Source organism: Homo sapiens, chromosome 7 (genome assembly GCF_000001405.40).
Source record: "Homo sapiens chromosome 7, GRCh38.p14 Primary Assembly".
Classification (NCBI taxonomy): Eukaryota; Metazoa; Chordata; class Mammalia; order Primates; family Hominidae; genus Homo; species Homo sapiens.
In genome coordinates, this window is record NC_000007.14 from 4,887,912 (window position 1) to 4,911,884 (window position 23,973).

General features: G+C 49.4%; 1 protein-coding gene across 4 annotated transcripts in view; it reads right to left on the bottom strand.

The window, feature by feature from the left end:
• Positions 1-4,333: 4,333 nt before the first annotated feature.
• The window catches only part of MMD2 (monocyte to macrophage differentiation associated 2), a 66,943-nt gene continuing 47,303 nt past the window's right edge, over positions 4,334-23,973 (bottom strand). Inside the window, exons 6-9 of one of the 4 annotated variants that reach the window (NR_072989.2) lie at positions 23,234-23,335; positions 21,970-22,111; positions 19,531-19,688; positions 4,334-4,672 (exon numbers count right to left, since the gene is read on the bottom strand). Coding sequence is in view for 3 of the 4 variants with exons in the window: in NM_001100600.2 (NP_001094070.1) it covers positions 19,485-19,688; positions 21,970-22,111; positions 23,234-23,335 (448 nt within the window). In the remaining variant the exon portion in view is untranslated. Of the gene's footprint in view, positions 4,673-18,086; positions 19,689-21,817; positions 21,868-21,969; positions 22,112-23,233; positions 23,336-23,973 lie in introns of those variants that run through there. The other 3 variants (NM_001270375.2, NM_198403.4, NM_001100600.2) reach the window with 3 other exon arrangements.

Below are 23,973 nucleotides of genomic sequence, written 5' to 3' on the forward strand. Positions count from 1 at the left end.
TGAGACAGAGAGATAGGGTCTTGCTCTGTTGCCCAGGCTGTAGTGCAATAGTGCAATCATAGCTCACTGAAGCCTTGACTTTCCAGGCTCAAGTGATCCTCCCAACTCAGCCTCCTGAGTAGCTGGGACTACATGCCTGGCTAATTTTTTTATTTTTATTTTTTGTAGAGATGGGGTCTCCCTATGTTGCCCAGACTGGTCTCAAACTCCTGGCCTCAAGCGATCCTCCCATCTCGGCTCCTGAAGTACTGGGATTACAGGTGTGAGCCACCACACCTGACCACCTGTTTTATTTAATTCATAGAGTTTATCACCATGTCAATGTATTTGCTTATGTATTTAACACACACTAGAATTTGTGTTTTTGGAAAGCAAGGGCTTCATGTGTCTTGTTTACTATTATACTTGGCAACTAGCCAGTGCTCAATAAATATTTGTTAAATGAGTAGATGAAGGAATAGATTTCCATCCACTCTCACCCCCTCCCTCCAGGGAAAGTCCAAAGCTGTATTCATCTCCGTATCCCAGCATCTGGCTCCTGGGCAGTTTTTGAACTGTCGGGTTAAGTATCTTTGGAAATCCACTGGCCAAAAATAGAGTGTTGAGCTCTCCTGCTTGGCCACCAGAGAGTGACAGAATCCGGCAACTGACTCCAGGAAAGGACCTGAGCCCAGGGGAAAGGGATCTGGTTAAGGTCCAAAGTTCCGGTGCCCAAGGGATGGCCGTCCAGGGGCAGAGACTGGGCTTTTTCGGGGCCCAGAGGAGAGAGGAGGCAGGCTTTAGGAGGTGCACAGGGAGCATTAGATCCCAACCTTTCCTTCCCAGACTGTTACATCTGGTATCCCTAGAGGGGTGTGGCAGAACAAGTGATTTAATCCTTGGATTCCATTCTTCAGGCCCTCCACACCTATAAATAGCAGTGCTTGTGGCTCATGCCTGTAATCCCAGCACTTTGGGAGGCCAAGGCAGGAGGACCACTTGAGATCAGGAGTTCGAGATCAGCCTGGCCAACACAGTGAAACCCTGTCTGTACTAAAAATTTTAAAATTAGCCAGATGTGATGGCACGCACCTGTAGTCCCAGCTACTCGGGAGGCTGAGGCACGAGAATCGCTTGAACCCAGATGGCAGAGGTTGCAGTGAGCCAAGGTCATGCCACTGCACCCCAGCCTGGGTGACAGAGCAAGACTCAGTCTCAAAAAAAAAAAAAATTGTTATCACCTTCAAAGGAGAGACCACACCAGCTAGGCAGGCACGCCCCATTCTCTCCTGCCCCTGGGTCTCGGCAACCACCAATCCACTTTCTGCCTCTGTGGCCACAGCTCTCGTGGATATTTCATGTAAGTGGAGTCATACAATATTTGACATTTTGTGTCTGGATTCTTTCCCTTGGCATAGTTTTTGAGGTTCATCTTCTTTCCTCTAAATCTGAAACTATTCTAAAATTTCAAAGTTTATTTCAAAACATTGAGAGCAGGTAAGCCCTGCGGGTTGCCTGTGGCTCTAGAAAGCTGGGTTTGAATTGGCAAAGTTTGGGCTCAGATCTGCTCCACGTGCTTCCATATTCTGGGAGCAGCACTTACCAGGGGCATGGTCTTCTCGTGATAGATGGCAGAGATGCAAGAGGCCAAGCCAAACCACATGAGATTATCTAAAGCATCTGCTAATGTTAGATCCACCGACATTTCATCGGCCAAAACAAATCACATGGCCAGGTGCAGTGGTTCATGCCTGTAATCCCAGCACTTTGGGAGGCCAAGGAAGATGGATTACTTGAATTCAGGAGTTCAAGACCAACCTAGGCCACATGGTGAAACCCTGTCTCTACAAAAAATACAAAAATCAACCAGATGTAGTGGTGCACACCTGTAGTCCCAGCTACTCAGGATGCTGAGGTAGGAGGATCAGTTGAGCCTAGGAGGTGGAGGCTGCAGTGAGCTGTGATTGCATCACTCTACTCCAGCCCAGGCAACAGAGCAAGACCTTGTCTCAAAAAACACAACAAAACAAAAAAGCAACAAATCACATGCCTATTCAACGTCCAGGGGTCAGGATAGCATGCTCTTCCCAAGCTGGTAAGTGGCCATGTCTGGGATGAGGAGGAAGAAAGATGTGTGAACAAATCATCCAATCTGCCAGACAGAACTAAACACCACCTCCACTCTGTATGGTGGACATCGTTATGTCTGCCCACTTTGTTTTTTCAGAGATAGGATCTCACTCTGTCACCCAGGCTGGAGTGCAGTGGTGCAATCATAGCTCACTGGGCTCAAGCAATCCTCCTGCCTCAGCTCCTGAGTAGCTGGGACCACAGACATGCACCACCACACCCAGCTAATATATTTTTGATTGTTTGTAGAGATGGGGTCTAGCTATGTTGCCCAGACTGGTCTCGAACTGCTGGGTTCAGGTGATCCTCCTGCCTCGGCCTCTCAAAGTGCTGGAATGACAGGTGTAAGCCACTACACCTGGCCAAGATGTTTTTTAAAAGATGTGCAATCTCACCACTGTGAAAGGGAAATAAATCTTGGACCCCAAAATCACTAAACCAAAGGGAAAAGTCATGCTGGGAACTGTTTCAGGTAAACCTGCTTCCCATTTTATTCCTAAATGATAGCTACAAAGATTAAAAAAAAAAAAAAGCTACATACCTCCCTCACAATTTATCCACAAGGAAATTCCTTGTGGGCCTCAAGATCTTTACCCTAAAACAATTCTGTTGAATTTCCCCCGGCAACATAAATTGACAGCTGGTCTTCACAGGTGTGGGACAAAGGACAGAACTCGAAGTCATCTCTCTGCCCACTGAAGACAAATGCATATCTGATTGCTTCCTCTGCCCTAGTATGTATTAATAAAAATGCAGATTCTCGCCGTGCGCGGTGACTCACACCTGTAATCCCAGCACTTTGGGAGGCCAAGGCAGGCAGATCACGAGGTCAGGAGATCGAGACCATCCTGGCTAACACGGTAAAACCCCGTCTCTACTAAACAGACAAAAAATTAGCCGGGCGTGGCAGCGGGCGCCTGTAGTCCCAGCTACTTTGGAGGCTGAGGCAGGAGAATGGTGTGAACCCGGGAGGCAGAGCTTGCAGTGAGCCGAGATTACACCACTGCACTCCAGCCTGGGTGACAGAGCGAGACTCTGTCTCAAAAAAAAAAAAAAAAGGCAGATTCACTAAGCCCATCTAAGGCATAAATGACTATTCGTCTACCCAACTCTCACATGTAAATTGTGTATCCAGTGAAAAAACTGATCAAAGACTCAAAAGAATGTAACTGTATGAGGCTGGGCGCGGTGGCTCATGCCTGTAATCCCAGCACTTTGGGAGGCCGAGGCGGGTGGATCGCTTGAGGACTGGAGTTCGAGACCAGCCTGGCCAATATGGTGAAACCCCATCTCTACTAAAAATACAAAAAATTAGCTGGGTGTGGTGGTGCATGTCTGAAATCCCAGCTACTCGAGAGGCTGAGGCAGGAGAATCTCTTGAACCGGGAGGCGGAGGTTGCAGTGAGTGAAGATTGCGCCACTGCACTCCAGCCTGGGCAACACAAGCGAAACTCCATTTCAAAAAAAAAAAAAGAATGCAACTGTTTGTCTCCTATCATCTATCTATCTATCTATCTATCTATCTATCTATCTATCTATCTATCTAATCTATCATCTACCTATCTAATCTATCATCTACGTATCTATGTATCTATCTACCTACCTATCTACCTATCTATCTATCTATCTATCTATCTACCTGTCTGTCTATCTATCTATCTATCTAATCTATCATCTGTCTATCTACCTACCTACCTACCTGTCTATCTATCTATCTATCTACCTACCTATCTATGTATCTATCTACCTATCTATCTAATCTATCATCTATCTATCTATCTATCTATCTACCTACCTATCTATGTATCTATCTATCTATCTAATCTATCATCTATCTATCTATCTATCTATCTATCTATCTATCTATCTATCTATATCTATCTATGTTCTGGAAGCGCCCCCTGCTTCAAGTTGTCCCACCTTTCTTGATTGAACCCCTGTCCATCTTACACATACTGATTGATATCCCATGTCTCCCTGAAACGTAGAAATCCAAGCTGTACCCCAGCCACCTTGGGCGCGTGTCGTCAGGACCTCCTGAGGCTATGTCCCAGGCACATCCTTAACCTTGGCAAAATCAGCTTTCTAAATGGATTGAGACCTGTCTCAGATACTTTTGGTTCACACCATGAAAAATGATAATTAAGTGAGATAATGCAAATGTTCATTAGCTCTATTGGGCCATTCAACCATGTGTATATATATTTCAAAACATCACGCCATAGACGATAAATACAAACAATTTTTATTTGTGAATTAAAAGAACAAAATAAAAAATAAATCAAGGCCGGGCACGGTGGCTCACGCCTGTAATCCCAGCACTTTGGGAGGCTAAGGCGGGCAGATCACCTGAGGTCAGGAGTACAAGACCAGCATCGCCTACATGGTGAAACTCCGTCTCTACTAAAAATACAAAAATTAGCTGGGCATGGTGGTGGGTGCCTGTAGTCCCAGCTACTCGGGAGGCTGAGGCAGAAGAATCTCTTGAACCTGGGAGACAGAGGATGCAGTGAGCCGAGATCGCATTACTGTACTCCAGCCTGGGTGACAAAGCAAGACTCTGCTATAAATAAATAAATAAATAAATAAATAAATAAATCTGAAAAAATTAATTAATTAAAAGATGTGCAAGCAGGACAGGTAGAACATACTAAGAGTGTTGATTTCTAGGTGATAGAGTTTATGACTAATTGCAATTTCTCTTTTGTTTTTTGAGATGAAGTCTAGCTCTGTCGTCCAGGCTGGAGTGCAGTGGTGTGATCTTGGCTCACTGCAACCTCTGCCTCCTGGGTTCAAGCGATTCTTCTGCCTCAGCCTCCTGAGTAGCTGGAACTACTAGGCGTGCCACCACACCTAGCTAATTTTTTGTATTTTTAGTACAGGTGAGGGTTCACCATGTTGACCAGGCTGGTCTCGAACTCCTGATATCATGATCCTCACGCCTCTACCTCCCAAAGTGCTGGGATTACAGGCGCGAGCCACCGCACCCAGCTGACTAATTGCGGTTTCTAAGATAGCCACCTCAATACATAGATCCCATCCTATGCACTCGTCTTGCTGTAAGAGGAGTGGATGTACCTCTATCAGGTGTGGGGGAATGGGGTCTACACGCACTCCCCTTGAAGCTAGCAGGACCCTTGCAGCTGCCTTGAGCAAAAGTGGTACCAGAAAGGTCCGATCCAGACCCCAAGAGAGGGTTCTTGGACCCCGTCCAAGAAAGAATTCAGGGAGAGCCCACAGAGTAAAGTGAAGTTTATTAAGAAAGTCAAGAAATAAAAGAATGACTACTCCATAGGCAGAGCATCACCAAGGGCTGCTGGTTGGCTATTTTTATGGTTATTTCTTTTATTTATTTATTTATTTATTTATTTATTTATTTATTTATTTTTGAGACAGAGTCTAGCACTGTCACTCAGGCTGGAGTGCAGTGGCGCAATCTTGTCTCACTGCAACCTCCACCTCTCAGGTTCAAGCAGTTTTCATGCTTCAGCATCCCAAGTAGCTGGGATTACAGACATGCACCACCACACCCGGCCAATTTTTGTATTTTTAGTACAGACATGGTTTTGCCACGTTGGTCAGGCTGCTCTTGAACTCCTGACCTCAGGTGATGTGCCTGCCTCGGCCTCCCAAAGCACTAGGATTACCCATGAGCCACCACACCCGGCCCAGTTATTTCTTGATTATATACTGAACAAGGGGTGGATTATTCATGAGTTTTCCAGGAAACGGATGGGCAATTCCCAGAACTAAGGGCTCCTCCCCTTTATAGACTATATAGGGTAACGTCTTGACATTGCCGTGGCATTTGTAAACTGTCATGATGCCAGTGGGAGTGTCTTTTAGCATGCTAATGTATTATAATTAGTGTAAGCATTGAGGACGACCAGAGGTCACTTTCCTCGCCATCTTGGTTTTGGTAGGTTTTGGTGGGCTTCTTTACCACACCCTGTTTTATCAGCAAGGTCTTTGCGACCTGTATCTTGTGCTGACCTCCTATCTCATCCTGTGACTTAGAATGCCTTAACCTCCTAGGAATGCAGCCCAGTAGATCTCAGTCTTTTTTACTCAGCCCCTATTCAAGATGGAGTCACTCTGGTTCAAACGCCTCTGACCAAAGAATATGGCAGGAATGATGATGCACGACCTCCAAGGCCAGATCATAAAAGGCAACAGTCTCCCAGCTGGCTCTTTCTTTCTCTTGAGACACTTGCCTTACGACCTAGCCGCCATGTTGTAAGGAAGTCCAGGCCACATGGGGAAGTCCAGGCCACACGCAGAAGTCACATGTGAATGTATATTAAGCCTGTCTTTTCAGTTATTTCTGATAGAATAAAAAGTTTGTTTGGATACCTGGGGCCTTTCTGATCCTGGAGGGACTACCCCTCGCAGGAGTAGCCAATTCCTAGAGATAGTAACAGAGTGGCTTTTAAGCGTGCCTTTCATATGCAAACCAAGCGATCACAGCTCACCCCCTCCACCTCCTCTATTGGGCCATCAGATTCCAGTCCAATATTCCCCCATCCTAATCACCCCAGGGCCAGGTACCGGACATCTCAATGAGATGGGATAGTTCCCTTGACCTTGACTCCCTTCGTGGGCGGGAACTGGAATGGATTGTTTCACTCAGCCCGCCCCTGGCCACTCCTCTCGAGAGGGAGCTTGCAAGCTAGCAAGTGCAGGAACCAGAGGGAACCCACGCTGGAACCGGCCAGTCATTTGTCTCTGGTGGGAGCAGGCTCTGTGAGGACCCTGCAGCAGCCTCTACGCCCCTGCCCTCTAGGCACCCAGGTTCTTGTTCCGTGTCCAGGAAGAATCAGGTCACCCAAACAAGTTGAAGGGTAGGTGGTGTATGTGGAGGTTTTTATTGGGTGATGGATGTGGCTCTCAGCCATCCATGGGGAATTGGAAAGGGGATCCTGTGGGAAGAAAATGATCTTTGCTGGAAGCTGCACTGTCTGAAGTTAGCCTCATTTAAACGTAGTCTCTGACTCTCAGCCACTTGTATCCCCAACGCTCAGCCGCTTGCATCCCCGACTGCTTGCATCAGCCAGCTGAAGTCTTTTTTTTTTTTCTGAGACAGAGTCTCGCTCTGTCACCAGACTGGAGTGCAGTGGCCCAATCTCGGCTCACTGCAACCTCCGCTCCCAGGTTCAGACGATTCTCTTGCCTCAGCCTCTTGAATAGCTGGGATTACAGGCGACCACCACCATGCCTGGCTAATTTTTGTATTTTTAGTAAAGACGGGTTTTGCCATGTTGGCGATGCTAGTCTCAAACTCCTGACCTCAGGTGATCCGCCCTCCTCGGCCTCCCAAAGTACTGGGATTACAGGCCCGAGCCACGGAGCCCAGCCAGCTGAAGTCTTTTTATGGACACAGGCTAGGGGTGGGATGGGCCAAAATGGCAATTATTTGGCGGGGTTGCGGTGTGGAGAAACGGGGTCAGCGGTTTTGACTTAGGGCTGAGGTTCCAGGCTTGAGGGTGGAGTTTAGCCAGGAGCCCAGGCATTCTTTTTTTTTCTTTTCTTTTTTTGAGACGGAGTCTCGCTCTGTCACCCCAGCTGGAGTGCAGTGGCGAGATTTCAGCTCACTGCAACCTCCATCTCCCGGGTTCAAACAATTCTCCTGACTCAGCCTCCGGAGTAGCTGGGATAATAGGCGCGCACCACCACATCTGGCTAATGTTTGTATTTTTAGTAGAGACGTGTTTCATCATGTTGGTCAGGTTGGTCTCGAACTCCTGACCTCGTGATCTGCCCATCTTGGCCTCCCAAAGTGCTGGGATTACAGGCGTGAACCACCGCGCCCGGCTGAGCCCAGGCATTCTGTATCATCAGGACAACCTGTACACCCCAGAACCTGCTTCAGTTACTCAACTATCAAATTCTAAGCCTGTTTAGCGTGCCCTGCTCACTCCTTCCCGGGAATCATGACAAAGACTCCTGCCCACGTTTTCCCATCACTCCTTCCTGACGAAGCCTAGTGCTTCCCCACATGACCCTGCATGGTATGATGTGTCCCCTCCTTTTGGGATCTGTGAGTAACAAACGATGTTTTTGGCGGCAGTTGTCACCTGTGATCTGTTGGTCTCACCATACCTGAATAATGGTAAAACCTACATTTTTATTATTGATTTTTGAGAGAGGGCCTTGCTCTCCTGTCTCAAAAATAAATAATAGGCCAGGTGGTGGCTCACACCTTTAATCCTAGCACTTTGGGAGGCTGAGGCGGGTGGACTGCCTGAGCTCAGGAGTTTGAGACCAGCCTGGGCAACATGGTGAAACTCTGTCTCTACTAAAATACAAAAAGTTAGCTGGGCATGGCAGTGTATGCCTGTAGTCCCAGTTACTTGGGAGGCTGAGACAGGAGAATTGCTTAAACCTGGGAGGCAGAAGTTGCAGTGAGCACAGATTGTGCCACTGCACTCCAGCCTGGGTGACAGAGCGAGACTCTGTCGCAAAAAAATTAAATAAAATAAAACAAGGTGTTTGGCCAACTTTCCCAGCTGGGTCCCTAGCCAGCCACCAGCATCAACCAACAGATGTGTGCATGAACATGCTTTCAACTGATTCCAGCCTCCATTTCCACCTCCTCTAGCTGAGCCGCAGACTCTAATTCCTGGCCCGTGAAAACCACAAAAGACATAGATGACTATTGTTCGAAGCCACTATTTTAGGATAATTTATGATATGCAGTAATAGAGAGCTAATACAGGAGTTTTCATTTTCTTTGTCTTTTCTAAATACCCCATTTTGTTTTTTTCTTTAGTGTTACTCCACCCCCATTTATATCAGCAATAATTATCCCATTTTCTTTCTTTATTTTTCTCTATTCTTTTCTTTTCTTTTCTTTTTTTGAGACAGAGTCTCGCTCTGTAGCCCAGGCTGGAGTGTAGTGGCCCAGTCTCAGCTCACTGCAACCTCCACCTCCCGGGTTCAAGTGATTCTCCTGCCTCAGCCTCTGGAGTAGCTGGGATTACAGGCACCCACAACCACAGCCGGCTAATTTTTGTATTTTTAGTAGAGACGGGGTTTCGCCATGTTGACTGAGCTAGTTTGGAACTCCAGACCTCAAGTTATCCCCCTCCTTAGCACCCCCAAAGTGCTGGGATTACAGGCATGAGCCACCACGCCCGGCCTTAATTATCCCATTTTCTACAGTGAACAGAGATCACTTTTATAAAAAGAATTGGCAGGTGTTATATTTAAAAAAAAAAAAAAAAAAAAAGACAATTAGGCCAGAGTGAGACATCTTGATTTTTTTTTTTAAGTTCTTTCTACTCCATTGGAAACAATAATATTCAGCAGAGGGATTATTCTTCTTAATATAAATGTTTATCAAATACTGTGTTAATACAAAATAGCAATTTCACAAACACAGAAAGGGTCCAATACCAGCAGGACATTTTTTTAAAAGTCATGCCGCAAACGCCACTCTCAGACATTGTAGACATTATAGGTCTATAAAAGTGAATATGAAAGACAATCATACAGTTTCCGTTTCCTCCCACCCCAGAGAAAGGCCTTAAGAAGCAGCGAGGCCTGCACCTGCAGAGGTGGGAAAGCTCCTAGCGGAACCTGGCAGTGTAAACAGGACTGGTGGGAAGTGCATTCGGTGAAAGGCCAGAGCCTGAAATTTGAAAATGCTGATGGAGGCAGAGTAGCCCTTCCAACACTGGGTGCCCTCCTTCCTTTCTCCAGTGTATTTAATCTCTTTCTTTCTTTCTTTCTTTTTTTGAGACAGTCTCACTCTATCACCCAGGCTGGAGTACAATGGTGTGATCTCGGCTCACTGAAACCTCTGCCTCCCGGGTTCAAGAGATTCTCCTGCCTCAGCCTCCCAAGTAGCTGGGATTACAGGTGCCCACCACCATGCCTGGCTAATTTTTGTATTTTTAGTAGAGATGGTGTTTCACCATGTTGGCCAGGCTGGTCTCAAACTCCTGGCCTCAAGTGATCCACCCACCTTGGCCTCCCAAAGTGCTGGGATTACAGGTGTGAGCCACCGCACCCGGCCTATCTCTTTCTCTTGCCTTCTAAACCCTCCTGACCTAATGCTGGCTTAAGTTCAGGGCCACGCTGCCCACTGGGTCTCTAGGACCACCTAGCCTCAAGGTCCCCCACGAACATGGGCCATCACAAAGACAAGAGGCCATAAAATGTGATCCTGTATTCCTCCTAGTGGGGTCAGGGTTCTGGGTAACCAGATTCTTGGAAGCTCCTAATTTCTTTCTCCTTACCTGTCCCCACATGGCCTGGGGGCACTCTGGATCCCAAGGTATGACACCATGCTGAGCCCTGCCAATTGCAGCAAATACACACTAAGCACTGATTACCAACAACTATGGCTTTCTGGGAATGTACCACTAAGAACAGCTTTCAGAACTTAGGATTTAGACGCACTCATGGGTCATAACATCATTTGGTGGGTTGCAACCAGTAATTTGAAACAATGACATAAGATGGGATGGGATAGGATAGGGTAGGGAAGGATAGGATAGGATAAGATTGGATGGTGCTGGGATTTGTGTCCCTCCAAATTCTACGTTGAAAACCTAACTCCAAGGTGATGGTATTAAGAAATGAGGCGTTTGGGCAGGGCGCAGTGGCTCCCGCCTGTAATTGCAGCACTTCAGGAGGTGGCCAAGGTGGGCAGATCACTTGAGGTCAGGAGTTCAAGACCAGCTGGCCAACATGGCGAAACCCTGTCTCTATTAAAAATACAAAAATTAGCTGGGCTCCATGGTACGCATCTGTAATCCCAGCTACTTGGGAGGCTGAGACAGGATAATTGCTTGAACCTAGGAGGCAGAGGTTGCAGTGAGCCAAGATCACACTATCGCACTCCAGCCTGGGCAACACAGTGAGACTCTGTCTCAGAAAAAAGAAAGAAAGAGAGACAGAGGAAGGAAGGAAGGAAGCAAGCAAGCAAGCAAGCTAGGAAGGAAGGAAGCTAGGAAGGAAGGAAGGAAGCTAGGAAGGAAGGAAGGGAGGGTTTGGAAGGTGATTAGGTCAGGGAGGCTGCATCTTCACGAATGGGATTAGTACCCTTACACAAGAGGCCTGAGAGAGCTGCTTTGCCCATGTGTCAGTCATGGGAGGACACAATGAGAAAACACCACCTACGAACCAGGAAACAGCCCTCACCAGACACTGAACTTGCCAGTTCCTTGTTCTTGGACTTCTCAGCCTCCAGAACCGTGAGAAATAAATTCCTGTTGTTTATAATCCACCCAGTCTATGGTATTTTGTTATAGCAGCCAAAATAGACAAAGGCTAGGACAGGATAGGATAGGATAGCAAGTATCAGAGCATATCACCAAAGTCAGTCCCATTTCAGTAAACTACAATCACTGTGTAAAATGTATTTTTCTTTTTTTTTTTTTGAAACGAAGTCTTGCTTTGTCGCCCAGGCTGGAGTGCAGTACCATGATCTCAGCTCACTGCAGCCTCCGCTTCCTGGGTTAAGCAGTTCTCTTGCCTCAGCCTCCCGCGTACCTGGGATTACAGGCATAAGCCACTGTGCCCAGCTAATTTTTGTATTTTTAGTAGAGACAGTGGGAGGGAGCTTCACTGTGTTGGCCAGGCTGGTCTCGAACGCCTGACCTCAGGTGATCCACCTACCTCTGTCTCCCAAAGTGCTGGGATTACAGGCTTGAGCCACCTCGCCCAGCGTGGAAAATGTATTTCTTAGTATGGGTCTTCAACAAAAAGGCTTGAAAAACACTGCCCTGTGGGAGTAAACAGAAGACGGCTGACCTCTGCCACCTGGACCCCAGGTGATGAAATGGGCGGGTCACATGATACACAGGTAAACCTAACACCTAACCCATAAGGGCTGCTGGCCCCAGCCAGGATGTAGCACCCTCCTCTTTTAACACTGCAACAGGGGCAAAAATCCATTGAAAGTCCATCAGGAAGCCAGATGTGCAAAGAGAAAGTTGTCAGGACAAGCTGAAGGTATGTGAGCAGACAGATCTCCACTGTCTGAGCAACCTTGGTGTCCTCATATGGCTCATGGCTGTAATCCTCGCACTTTGGGAGGCCGAGGTGGGCGGATCACTTGAGGTCAGGAGTTCAAGACCAGCCTGGCCAACTGGTGAAATCCCATCTCTACTAAAAATGCAAAAATTAGCCAGGCGTGGTGGCAGGTGCCTGTAATCCCAGCTACTCAGGAGGCTGAGGCAGCACTGAGTGCACCACTGCACTCCAGCCTGGGAGACAGAGCGAGACTGTGTCTCAAAAAAAAAGAAAAAGAAAACAGTAATTTCATCTTGTGAGGTTTTGGAAGAGCAAAATACAAGAAGAGGGATGTGAATGTGTGCACGTTCATAAGTGCGCATATTATCTGTTATACTGGTAAAAAGGGATGGTGTGCAGAGATGTGTGCATGGGGTGCAGGTCATGGTGTGTCTGTAAATTAGCTCTCCAAAAACAGGAAGCTCTGATCTGTAGCATTCACCCATCACCATGGTGTAAACACTCACACCTTGGTTAATTTCACCCTACCAGTCTTCTAATAACTTGCGAAGGCCTGAATATGTAAGTCCGTCTCCAGGGTGCCCTAAGGATGTAAGAACACTGATACCTTCCATGACTCCTCACCTCCCACCCCAGCAGTGGAGCAACATGAGACGGGATGGTATACCCTCCTCATGTAAAGTGCTCATGGCTCTCCCTCCAGCAGCATCCCCCCCACAACCCATATCCCCTCTTCTGCCACCCACCAGATCAGCAGCAGAACAAGTGTGGGACTCCTCCTGCCGCCTCCTCTCCACACCTTGCTCTTCCTGCTAGGGTTGACTCTTCTATATCTTCCATATAAACCAGCTCCCTGGGCCGGGCGCAGTGGCTCACACCTGTAATCCCAGCACTTTGGGAGCCTAAGGTGGGTGGATCACCTGAGGTCAGGAGTTCAAGACCAGCCTGACCAACATAGTGAAACCCCATCTCTACTAAAAATATAAAAATTAGCCGGGTATGGTGGTGGGCGCCTGTAATCCCAGCTACTCGGGAGGCTGAGGCACAAGAATCACTTGAAACCAGAAGGCAGAGGTTGCAGTGAGCCAAGATCACACCACTGCACTCCAGCCTGGGCGACATGAGTAAAACACTATCTAAAAAAAAAGTGGGATATAGGCCGGGTGTGGTGGCTCACACCTGTAATCCCACCACCTTGGGAGGCCAAGGTGGGCGGATCACTTGAGGTCAGGAGTTCGAGACCAGCCTGACTAACTCGGTGAAATCACGTCTCTACTAAAAATACAAAAATTAACTGAGCATAGTGGTATGCGCCTGTAATCCCAGCTACTTGGGAGGCTGAGGCAAGAGAATCTCTTGAACCCGGGAGGCAGAGTTTCCAGTGAGCCAAGATCACGCCACTGTACTCCAGCCTGGGTGACAGAGAACCGATCTCAAAAAATACATAAATAAATACAATTTAAAAACCAAACAGAAAAAACTCAAACCCTGATGTGTGTATAGCACTTGTGGATCATAATCTCCATTTTATAAATCAGGAAACTGAGGCACGGAGAGGATAAGGGACAGGCCCAAGGGTCTTGCACACTGGTCTGTGGAGAGCTGGATTTGGGTCAGGTTCGACTGGCACCAGACTCTGGACTCTTACCTCACCATTTCTGAATGTCTCTGTGACAGAACTGGCCCTGCACAGGGACCCTTTGGGGCTGGGTTTGTTGTCACCAACTTCACATCCCTGGCTTCCCTGGCCGGGCTTCACAAGAGGTACAGCTGGGAAGTGGCGGAGCCGGGGGAGCCTGCACCTGGCTTGTAGCATTTGCGACGACCAATTACATACATTGCTTTTCATCCTTGGCAATGCCACTTTGGCAGCACAAAATTGGCCCTGGCATGAGTATTTACACCATGGAAATTGACAATGCTACACACCAGAGGTTTTAAAACAATTATTCTCTTTTTTCTTTTTTTGACGTGGAATCTCGCTCTGTCACCCAGGCTGGAGTGCAGTGGCGCAATCTCGGCTCATTGCAACCTCTGCCTCCCAGGTTCAAGCATTCTCCTGCCTCAGTCTCCTGAATAGCTGGGATTACAGGCGTGTGCCACCACAGCCGGCTAATTTTTTATATTTTTGGTAGAGATGGGATTTCACCATGTTGGTCAGGCTGGTCTCAAACTCCTGGCCTCAAGTGATCCACCCGCCTTGGCCTCCCAAAGTGCTGGGATTACAGGCGAGAGCCACCACGCCCCACCAAAAAAAATATTCTTTAATTTTTTTTAAGGTCAGCTTTCCTCCCTGGGCAAAAGATTTGGAGGCAGTGTGTTTCCTTGCAAGCAGCCAGGTCTGGCCAAGGGCAGGAGGCTTGGGTATTAGATAGTCCTGGCTTCAACGCTTTGCTCCGCTGGTTAGAAGCTGGGTGCCCTCGGGAAAATCACCAAACCTCTCTGGGCTTTGGCTTCCTGCTTTGTAATATCAGCAAATTATCCTTACCCCACGGGGGGAGTCTGTGTGAATCGGTGAAGACAGCATCTAGAAACCACCAAGGGAGACTGGCACCCCGGAGGAGACCCAGACAGGTGAGCCTCTGCCTGCCCCGCTTCCAGCTCTTTCTCGTCACACCTGCTGAATACCACGCCTGTGACATTAGCATGCTCATTGGAAGTGGGTGCTGGAATTGTCACTGGCTCTTTCTGAATCCCATAGATGCTGTCCCCAGAGCCTGCATTTCGGCATCTGGTTACGCTGTACATGGTGGCAAATTTGACAGGTGCCCATCTCCCAACCCTTTGACCTCTACCTGCCCCCTCTCAGCACTCGTGGTGCATGAAGCCATCATGGGCACCCTTAGCACCCCAAGCTGCTCCCACCTCCCACTTCCTGAGCCCAGTAGCAGGGGCTCAGGCATCGGTAGAAGGAAATGCTCTGTAGCTTTTGCAAACTGATACGGAAAAGAGAGTTTGGGATATGGTGGCTCATGCCTATAATCCCAGCACTTTGTGCGGCCGAGGCGGGCAGATCACTTGAAGTCAGGAGTTCGAGACCAGCCTGGCCAACATGGTGAAACCCTGTCTCTACTAAAAATACACAAATTAGCTGGGTGTGGTGACGGGCACCTGTAGTCCCAGCTACTCGAGAGGCTGAGGCAGGAGAATCACTTGAACCCAGGAGGCAGAGGTTGCAGTGAGCCGAGATTGCGCCACTGCACTCCAGCCTGGGCAACAGAGCGAGACTCCATGTCAAAACAAAACCAAAAACAAACGAGAGTTTGGGAAGCTGAAAACTGGGGACTGTAAAAGTGTTCTGTAAGCCTTCAGTGCTGTCAACCCCCTGTGCAAGCCCCCTGCCCACGACCAAAGTGACTTTAGATCTCCAGTTCTGGGTCCATCTGCATCCCCCTCCCCACCCTCAAGCGCTATCCTATGATTCTCCCTCGCGGAGCCTGAAGCTGATGGAAAGGAGAAGGCTCAACGCCACTCACACCACACCTTCAGCTTCCAATCCAGTGGGAAAGGCAGCTCTGGTCTGTGATGCTGACTCAAATCCTTCCCTGGCCGGGAGGCTGTCGACCCTGGGGACAGCCCTAGCCAAGCTCTGTCTGGGCCTTACAGAGAAGTCCTCCCAGGTGGGCACGCAGCCGGGGTGTGGGAGGTGTGTTGCTGGGGCCACTGATTCAGCTGCCCTCCCAAATGTGAGTCTACTGAGCAGGACACTGCCTCACTCCCACCTGCCTTCACTCATCCTGCCCTGGCAGTGCCCACTGAGCGCAGGTGCAGAGGCCAACGAGTCCAGAACGTCACACAGGCCAGCCTGCTGCCGACTGCTCTCCTGACTCCCTGAGGCATGACGACAGCTCTGCTGGGTCACCGGGAACCTCACGGCCCCAGGGATGGAAAGGAAGAGAGTGTTGCTGTCTGAATTTCCGGTGCATGCCCTCCCCACCCTTTTTTTTTGAGACGGAGTTTCGCTTTTGTTGCCCAGGCTGGAGTGCAGTGGTGCAATCTTGGCTCACTACAACCTCGGCCTCCCGAGTTCAAGCGATTCTCCTGCCTCAGCCTCCCGAGTAGCTGAGATTACAAGCAGGTGCCACCATGTCTGGCTACTTTTTGTATTTTTAGTAGAGACGGGGTTTCACCACGTTGGCCAGGCTGGTCTCGAACTCCTGACCTCAGGTGATCCACCCACCTCGGCCTCCCAAAGTGCTGGAATTACAGGCATGAGCCACTGTGCTCGGCGCCCCTCTCTACACCACACACCCGGTGCGCAGCCTAGAATGCTCCCAGGACAGGGCCTTGCCCACCGGAGAGAATGGCCTAGGAAACTTCTTTTCCTTTCCTGCACTACTTAGGATACATTCAGAGGACATCCAGGGTCTGGGCTTGGGTGAAATGGAATCCTGGGAAAATCACTTCCAGAATGATGCTGGGGAAGAGAAAGGGTTTATGGGAAGCATGCCCTGAATTGGAGTGAGGGGAGGAAATGTGGCCAAAGCCCTTCAGAATGCCCTCCATGTTCTCACCAGACTACAGTTGGAAATTCCACCATTAGTGATTCATTCCTTTGGCTGACACCCCTGAAATCATGTGATCTTTAGGATCAGGGGTTGCTTTCCATTGGAAAGCCAACAGAACTAATGAGGAGAGCAGGTGGTGTTGTGCATTTGTTATCCTGCTGCATCTTCAAGCAGCCCATAAAGTGCTGCCTTCCCCATTTAGCAACTGAGAACACTGAGGCTCAGAGAGGTTAGGAAACTGACCAAAGCTCCCACAATGCCGGGGTTATGCTGAATTTGATCCCAAGTCCAGCAAGACACAGTCCCTCCCTCCAGGAGCTCCCAGGCCTGGGACCAGTGCAAGTAGCTGCATGATGAAGGATGGGGCTCCAAGCTGTGACGCCGGAGGGCAGGGGGCATGACAGGGAGCAGAGGGGAAGCCCCTAAGTCAGAGGAAGGCCAGAAGTTCCCCAGTGCTGATGCCTGAACTGGACTTTGAAGGATGAGTAGGAGTAAGTTGCATGGACAAGGGGATCAACAGTTCCCACCAGTGGGACCAGCACCTCCAAAAATCCAGGGGCATGAAGGAGCAGGCTGTCCTGGGGAAATGCAAGCCCAGATGCCCAGGAGGAGGGGGCACAGGAGGTGCAGGTGTCAGACTGAGGAGTCAGCAGCTGCTATGGGGCCACTAAAGAAGTCCCAAGTCATCCAAATAGGAAAAGAAGTCAAAGTATCTTAGAAGAAAAGAAGAAGGAGAAGGAGGAGAAGAGGAGGAGGAGGAGGAAGAGGAAGAGGAAGAAGAAGAAGAAGAGGAAGAGGAAGAGGAAGAAGAAGAAGCAGCAATGAGAAGAAGAAGAGGAGGAGGAGAAGGAGGAAGAGGAAGGGGAAGAGGAGGAAGGGGAAAAGGAGGAGGAAGTGGAGGAGGAGGAGGGGAGGAAGGGGAAGAAAGGGAAGAAGGAGAGGAATGGGAGGAAGGGGAGGAAAGGAGGGAGGGAAGGAGTAAGAGGAGGAGGAAAGAAGGAAGCAAGGAAGAAGGAGTAGTCCCAAGTCACTGGTCCCAGGAAGGTGCTTTGGTGTCCGTCAGCATCGTGATCGCAGGATTTTATCTTGGCCTGGCATGGTGCCACGCCTTGGGAGGTCTCCTAAACAACACCCCAGAACCCCCAGAACCCCCTCTCCCAGCCCCAGGCCCAGGCAGAGGTCAAGTTTTCAGTGTCTCTGTCCCCATTTGGGAACGAGTCTCTCTCCAACCAGCCCTCCCCTGCAAAAGTTTCCCCACTGACCTCCAGCCCTGACCCCAGCTGGTGGGAAATATTTGGTGAGCTCTACAGGTCAGGCTTACCGAAGACAGCTTCCAGGCATTAGGAGTGCCTGTGTAGACACACGTGTGCACACACATGCACATATACACACACACACACGCACATATACACGCACACACACATGGGCAGGAGGACAAAAGCTATCCACACAGCATCTCCCAGCACGGAGGCAGTCTGGTCTGTGGAATGTGTTGAGATAATTTAATACTGGCTTGGACACACTGGATTCCAGGTGCAGGAACCCTGGAACCCCCTGGAATGTGCTAGAGATAAGCATAAGGCATCCTGTCTGTGCCCACTCCACCCTGGTTGGGAGTCGCAGAATGAGGACCTCCTGACTTGAGACAGATTCTTTATCCAGAGAATCTGAGATTCCAATTCAGATCCTGGAGCTGGGCCTGCTACTCACCTCCCCAGTAAATGTCCAGGCAGCATTGGACAGAGAGGCTGGCCCCGCCCTGACGGGGGCTGAAGAACAGGCCCCCAGCAGCCTTGTTGTTGGGCTACTGAGCACTTCAGAGGTTGGGAGGACCTGGAACAGTCGCCCCAGATCCATGTGCCTTCTGTTTGGGGTACACCTGAGTAGCCTCTAACAGCCACTGATTGGCACCAAGAGAGAATCCAAATGTTGGCATCACAAACCTTAAGTATGGAGCAGGGAGCAAGTGCCTGGGGGCTGTTTGCCCCATCTTATGAATGAATAGCTCTCGTAATGTCTCTGGATTTTTGGAGATGGGAAGAAATGGCCAAGTAACAGCATCCTCATTCCCAACTCTACTGAGAATCAACTACGGTGGAACAGAACATCAGGGGCTGCATGGGTGTGCGCCTCAGTTTCCCTCTACCGCCCCCAAACTGCCTACTCCAGGAGTTTCCCAAAAGGGAGGGGGAGATGAGGAGATAGGCATGCAAATGCCCATTTGGAGATTTTCAGCTACTCTGGCCATTATCCCATTTCAGAGCACACCAGACAGGAAGGGCAAAGAGGTCCCATCATGAGTGCCAAATTGATTGGTACTGGCTGCCCAGAACACTGTGCTGGGAAGAATTCTGACATCACCCATGTGCTGCACTTGATTGGTGATGTCTGCCATGGTCACAGCCATTCACCATCCCTCATCTTCAAGCTGGGCTGTCCCCTTTCCCTGAACCAGAGACAATTCGCCAGCCTGGACTTTGGTAACAGAGAGGGAGGCCCTGGCCACCCAGGTATAAACAACCCACAGGACTCTTTGCCAGATTCTTCAGGACCTTAGGAAACACAGATTGGCCCGTCATTCCCCAATTTTCCAGGACCATGCCTGCTTCCTTTTCTGAAGATGTTAATGTTGCTTGTATTAGGAAACACTCATCTAAAATAGAAACACATTACAGGGTTAATTTCTCCTCTGTAAGAATGGCTAAATGCTTTCTTTCTCGCTGGGGACTCGAGGGATGATCTGGCTGTCACCAGAAGTCACCTTGGAGCCATCAAGAACTCTACCCAATAAAGGGAAGACAGGCCTTGGCGCTGTGCTCTGGGTTAACGTTCACAGAAACGTGCTCCACTCCTAAAGCCCAAACGACCTCTCAAGTCTGGGTCACCTCATTTGGACACCTTGGTCTGCAGGGTGCTGGGCAGATAGAGGTACCTCCAGATGGCATAGTAGTGGGTACCAGCACCAAATGCTACAAAGAGATGCCAGATGGCGTGGGCAAAGGGGATCCTCCCGTCACTCTTGAAGAAGACCATGCCCAGGCAGTAGAAGACCCCTCCGGTCACCAGCTCCCAGATGCCCTCGGTGTTGGGCTGTCGGCAAGGACAAGGGTGGGGCACAGGTCAGAGGGGCAGTCAGTGTGGCTGAAAGCACCAGCCAGTCCCCACCACCCAAAACCAAAAGACATGCAGATGGCAAACCAGCCCAGACTCCCAGGTGGGAAGCCTCAACACTGACATACCAGCAATTCTCCCCAGACTAGTTCTCAGATGATAGACATTCTCATTTCTATTAAAACTTCACCAATTTTTTTTCTTTTGACAGGGTCTCGGTCTGTTGCCCCAGCGGGAGTGCAGTGGCACAAGCGTAGCTCACTGTAGCCTCCAACTCCTGGGATGATCCTCCTGCCTCAGCCTCCCCAGTAGCTGGGACTACAGATATCCCATGGCACAACCATGCCTGGCTAATTTTATTTTATTTTTGGAGATGGGGGCATCTCACTATATTGCCCAGGCTGGTCTCAAACTCCTGGTCTCCAGTGCTTCTCCCACCTCGGCTTCCCAAAGTGATGGCATTACAGGTGTGAGCCACCACACTCGGCCTCAAATAATATTTTTATAACTTATCTTATCTGGTTTTGTTTTTTTTTTTTTTGAGACACAGTTGCTCTTTTGCCCAGGCTAGAGTGCAGTAGCGAGATCTCAGTTCACTGCGACCTCCACCTCCTGGGTTCAACCAATTCTCCTGCCTCAGCCTCCCGAGTAGCTGGGACTACAGGCATGCACCACCATGCCCGGCTAATTTTTGTATTTTTAGTAGAGATGGGGTTTCACCATGTTGGCCAGGCTGGTCTCCAACTCCTGACCTGAGGTGATCTGCCCACCTTGGCCTCCCAAAGTGCTGGGATTATAGGCGGAAGCCACTGCGCCTGGCCTATAGCTTATCTTTTGTAAAAATGTAATACATCTGGGTATATACCCAAAGAATTGAAAGCAGGGTCTTGACAGATACTTGCACACCCATGTTCATAGCAGTATAATCACAACAGCAAAAGGTGGAGGCAACCCAGGGGTCAGCCAAGGAATGAATGGATAAACGAAATGAGCTCAAGGCCGGGCACGGTGGCTCACGCCTATAATCCCAGCACTTTGGAGGCTAAGGAGGGCGGATCACGAGGTCAGGAGTTCGAGACCAGCCTGGCCAACATAGTGAAACCCCATCTCTACTAAAAATACAATAATTAGCCGAGAGTGGTGGCACGCGCCTGTAATCCCAGCTACTCAGGAGGCCAAGGCACGAGAATCACTTGAACCTGGGAGTTGGAGGTTGCAGTAAGCCGAGATCGTGCCACTGCATTCCACGCTGGGCAACAGAGTGAGACTCCATCTCAAAAAAAAAAAAAAAAAATGAGGACAGGACAGAGTTATAGTTTGCAGAGATGCAAAAAGTTCTTGAGATGGATGGTGGTGATGGACGCACGACAATGTGAGTGTGCTTACTACCACTGAACTGAATATTTTACCACAGTTTTTTAAAGTAATGGCATGGCAAACAAAAAAAAGTAGAGAAAATAATTTTTGTTTTTGCTTCATGGCAAAAAATATTTAGAGAAAAAAAACATGGTAAGAAAAAAGTAGTAGTCCTGGCCCCCAGATGTGAGTACTATTAACACGAGTTGTTCTTAGTGAAAGAAACTCTCCGCAGGGCACGGTAGCTCATGCCTGTAATCCCAGCACTTTGGAAGGCCAAGGTGGGCTTAAGCCCAGGAGATCGAGACCAGCCTGGGCAACATAGTGAGACCCCATCTCTAAAAAAAAGAAACACTCATAGAATAGGAGGGAATTAAGCAAGAAGAACCTGCCAAGCCCTCGCCAGACCAGGAATTCAAGACCATCCTAGGCAGCACAGGGAGATCCTGCCTCTACAAAAAAAAAAAAAAGAATTGTTTTTTTGAAACAGAGTTTCACTGTTGTAGCCCAGGCTGGAGTGCAGTGGTGCAATCTCGGCTCACTACAACCTCTGCATCCCAGGTTCAAGACATTCTCCTGCCTCAGCCTCCAGAGTAGCTGAGACTATAGGTGTGCACCACATCTGGCTAATTTTTTTTTTTTTAGAGATGGGTCTTGCTATGTTGCCCAGGCTGGTCTCAAATCCCTGGACTCAAACTATCCTCCCACCTCAGCCTCCCAAAGGACTGGATTATAGGCATGAGCCACTGTACCTGGCCTACTGCCTCTTTAGACAAGTCATGCCAGGCCTCAGTTTCCCCGCCTGCCAAAGGAGAGGGTTTGTGACAATCTCAACAGCCAGGTCCAGCTCGGACACTCTTGGTCTCTTGCAGGGACTCATCTATGCAGGGCTGGCAGCACTTACCATGGAGAGGATGACCAGGGCGGGGAAGAAGCCCATTACGACGTAGCAGAGAAGCTCCACAAGCTTGTACCTGGCAGGAAGACAAGCCGTGCCGGCCTTAGGACATGCCTCCCCACGAAGAAACTGCACACAGCTCCCTGTTCTTGGGGAAGAGGGAACACTCTGGCCAGAACAGTGAGAAGAAAGGACGCTTTCTCTGTCCAGCACGCCTTGGCTCAGATTTCACCCAGCTACATCCAACAGGTGCTGGCAGTTATGTGACCCTGGGCACTTTCCCTCCCTGAGACTCACTTTCCACACCTGTAAAATGCATGCTGGTGCCAGAGCAGGGATTACAAACATTGGGCATAGCACACACATGGGCACTTCCGATGCTCAGCCCATGGTAGACATCACTATTCGATCCTAGCATCTCTTCCCACAAGGCCCAAGCAGCCACTTCCAATTGAGCTGGGTTGCTGCAGCAGCTGAAGCCTCTTTGCTGTCCCTGGACTAAATGACTTCCAGAGGTTCCTGGGCTCTGAGACTGCAGGAAGTCTGTTATGTTCTTTTGCTTGTATCGTCCTGTTTCTTTCCCCACTGAATTATTTCCATCCCCATCACTCGAAAGAATGGGAATACAGAGAGTGTGGCTCTCTCAAGACCTCTCCCCTTCATCTGCTAATAATTTAGGTAGGGCAGGTGGCATGTGACCACCCCCGCCTCCCCCCCTAACCCCGGCCCAATGGGGCTAGGAACCTATGTTTTTTTGTTGTTGTTTCTTTTTGAGACAGAGTCTTGCTCTGTCGCCCAGGCTGGAGCGCAGTGGCACGCTCTCAGCTTGCTGCAACCTCCACCACCCGGGTTCAAACCATTCTCCTGCCTCAGCCTCCCAAGTAGTTGGGATTACAGGCACCCATCATGACACCCAGCTAATTTTTGTATTTTTAATAGAGACAGGGTTTCATCATGTTGGCCAGGCTGGTCTTGAACTCCTGACCTCAAGTGATCTGCCTGCCTCGTGGATCACTCGGCCTCCCAAAGTGCTGGGATTACAGATGTGAGCCACCATGCCTGGCCACCTATGATGTCTTTTTGACAACTTCAAGTTGACCCTAGGGTCTGCAAGACCTGGTGGCCACCCATGAGCCTGAATGACGTGACAGCCAGAGCTGTGCTCTCACGATTATGAGATCATCCTGGACTCTCGGCAGCCCAGGAGTGCTGGGGAGGCCAGAGCATCTAAGGGAATCCCGCCTCCCTGAAGCCCCCAGGCCTGGCTTACCGCTCATGGAAGAAGAAGACATAGATGGTGCCCACGGAAGCCATAATCCAGACCAGCCAGCGCATGTGGGAGGCCCAGGGGCCCAGCTCCCGAAGGTTCAGCCTGGGAGAGAAAGAGCCAAGGCCATGGCCCTGAGGGGGGCCCACCAGGACCCCGGCCCTCGAGGACCGGCCTGTCACAGGAAATGGACCCCAGGGAAGTCCTGTCACCTGTGACTCCACGGCTGGGACATGGGCGCTCACAGGAAGACGGGTGAACAGGCAGAAAGGGTGCTAGATAACTTGAAACAGCAAGCAATGATTAGAGGAAAATTAGCAAAATTGATAATATCTAGAAGAAAAGGTAAGTAGCACCTCATACTGGTGGGATTATGAACAAGTAAAGCCTGTTTGGGGGCGATTGTGCATTCTCTGTAACCGCAGTTCCGGCAGCTAACCAAAGCAATGCTGTTTTGTTTTATTTATTTTATTTTATTTCATTTATTTTATTTATTTTATTTTATTTATTTTATTTTATTTTATTGAGATGCAGTCTCTCTCTGTGCCCCAGGCTGCAGTGTAGTGGCACAATCTCGGCTCACTGCAACCTCCGCCACCCGGGTTCAAGCGATTCTCCTGCCTCAGCCTCCTGAGTAGCTGGGATTACAGGCATGCGCCACCATGCCCGGCTAATTTTGTATTTTTAGTAAAGATGGGGTTTCTCCATGTTGGCCAAGCTGGTCGCGAACTCCTGACCTCAGG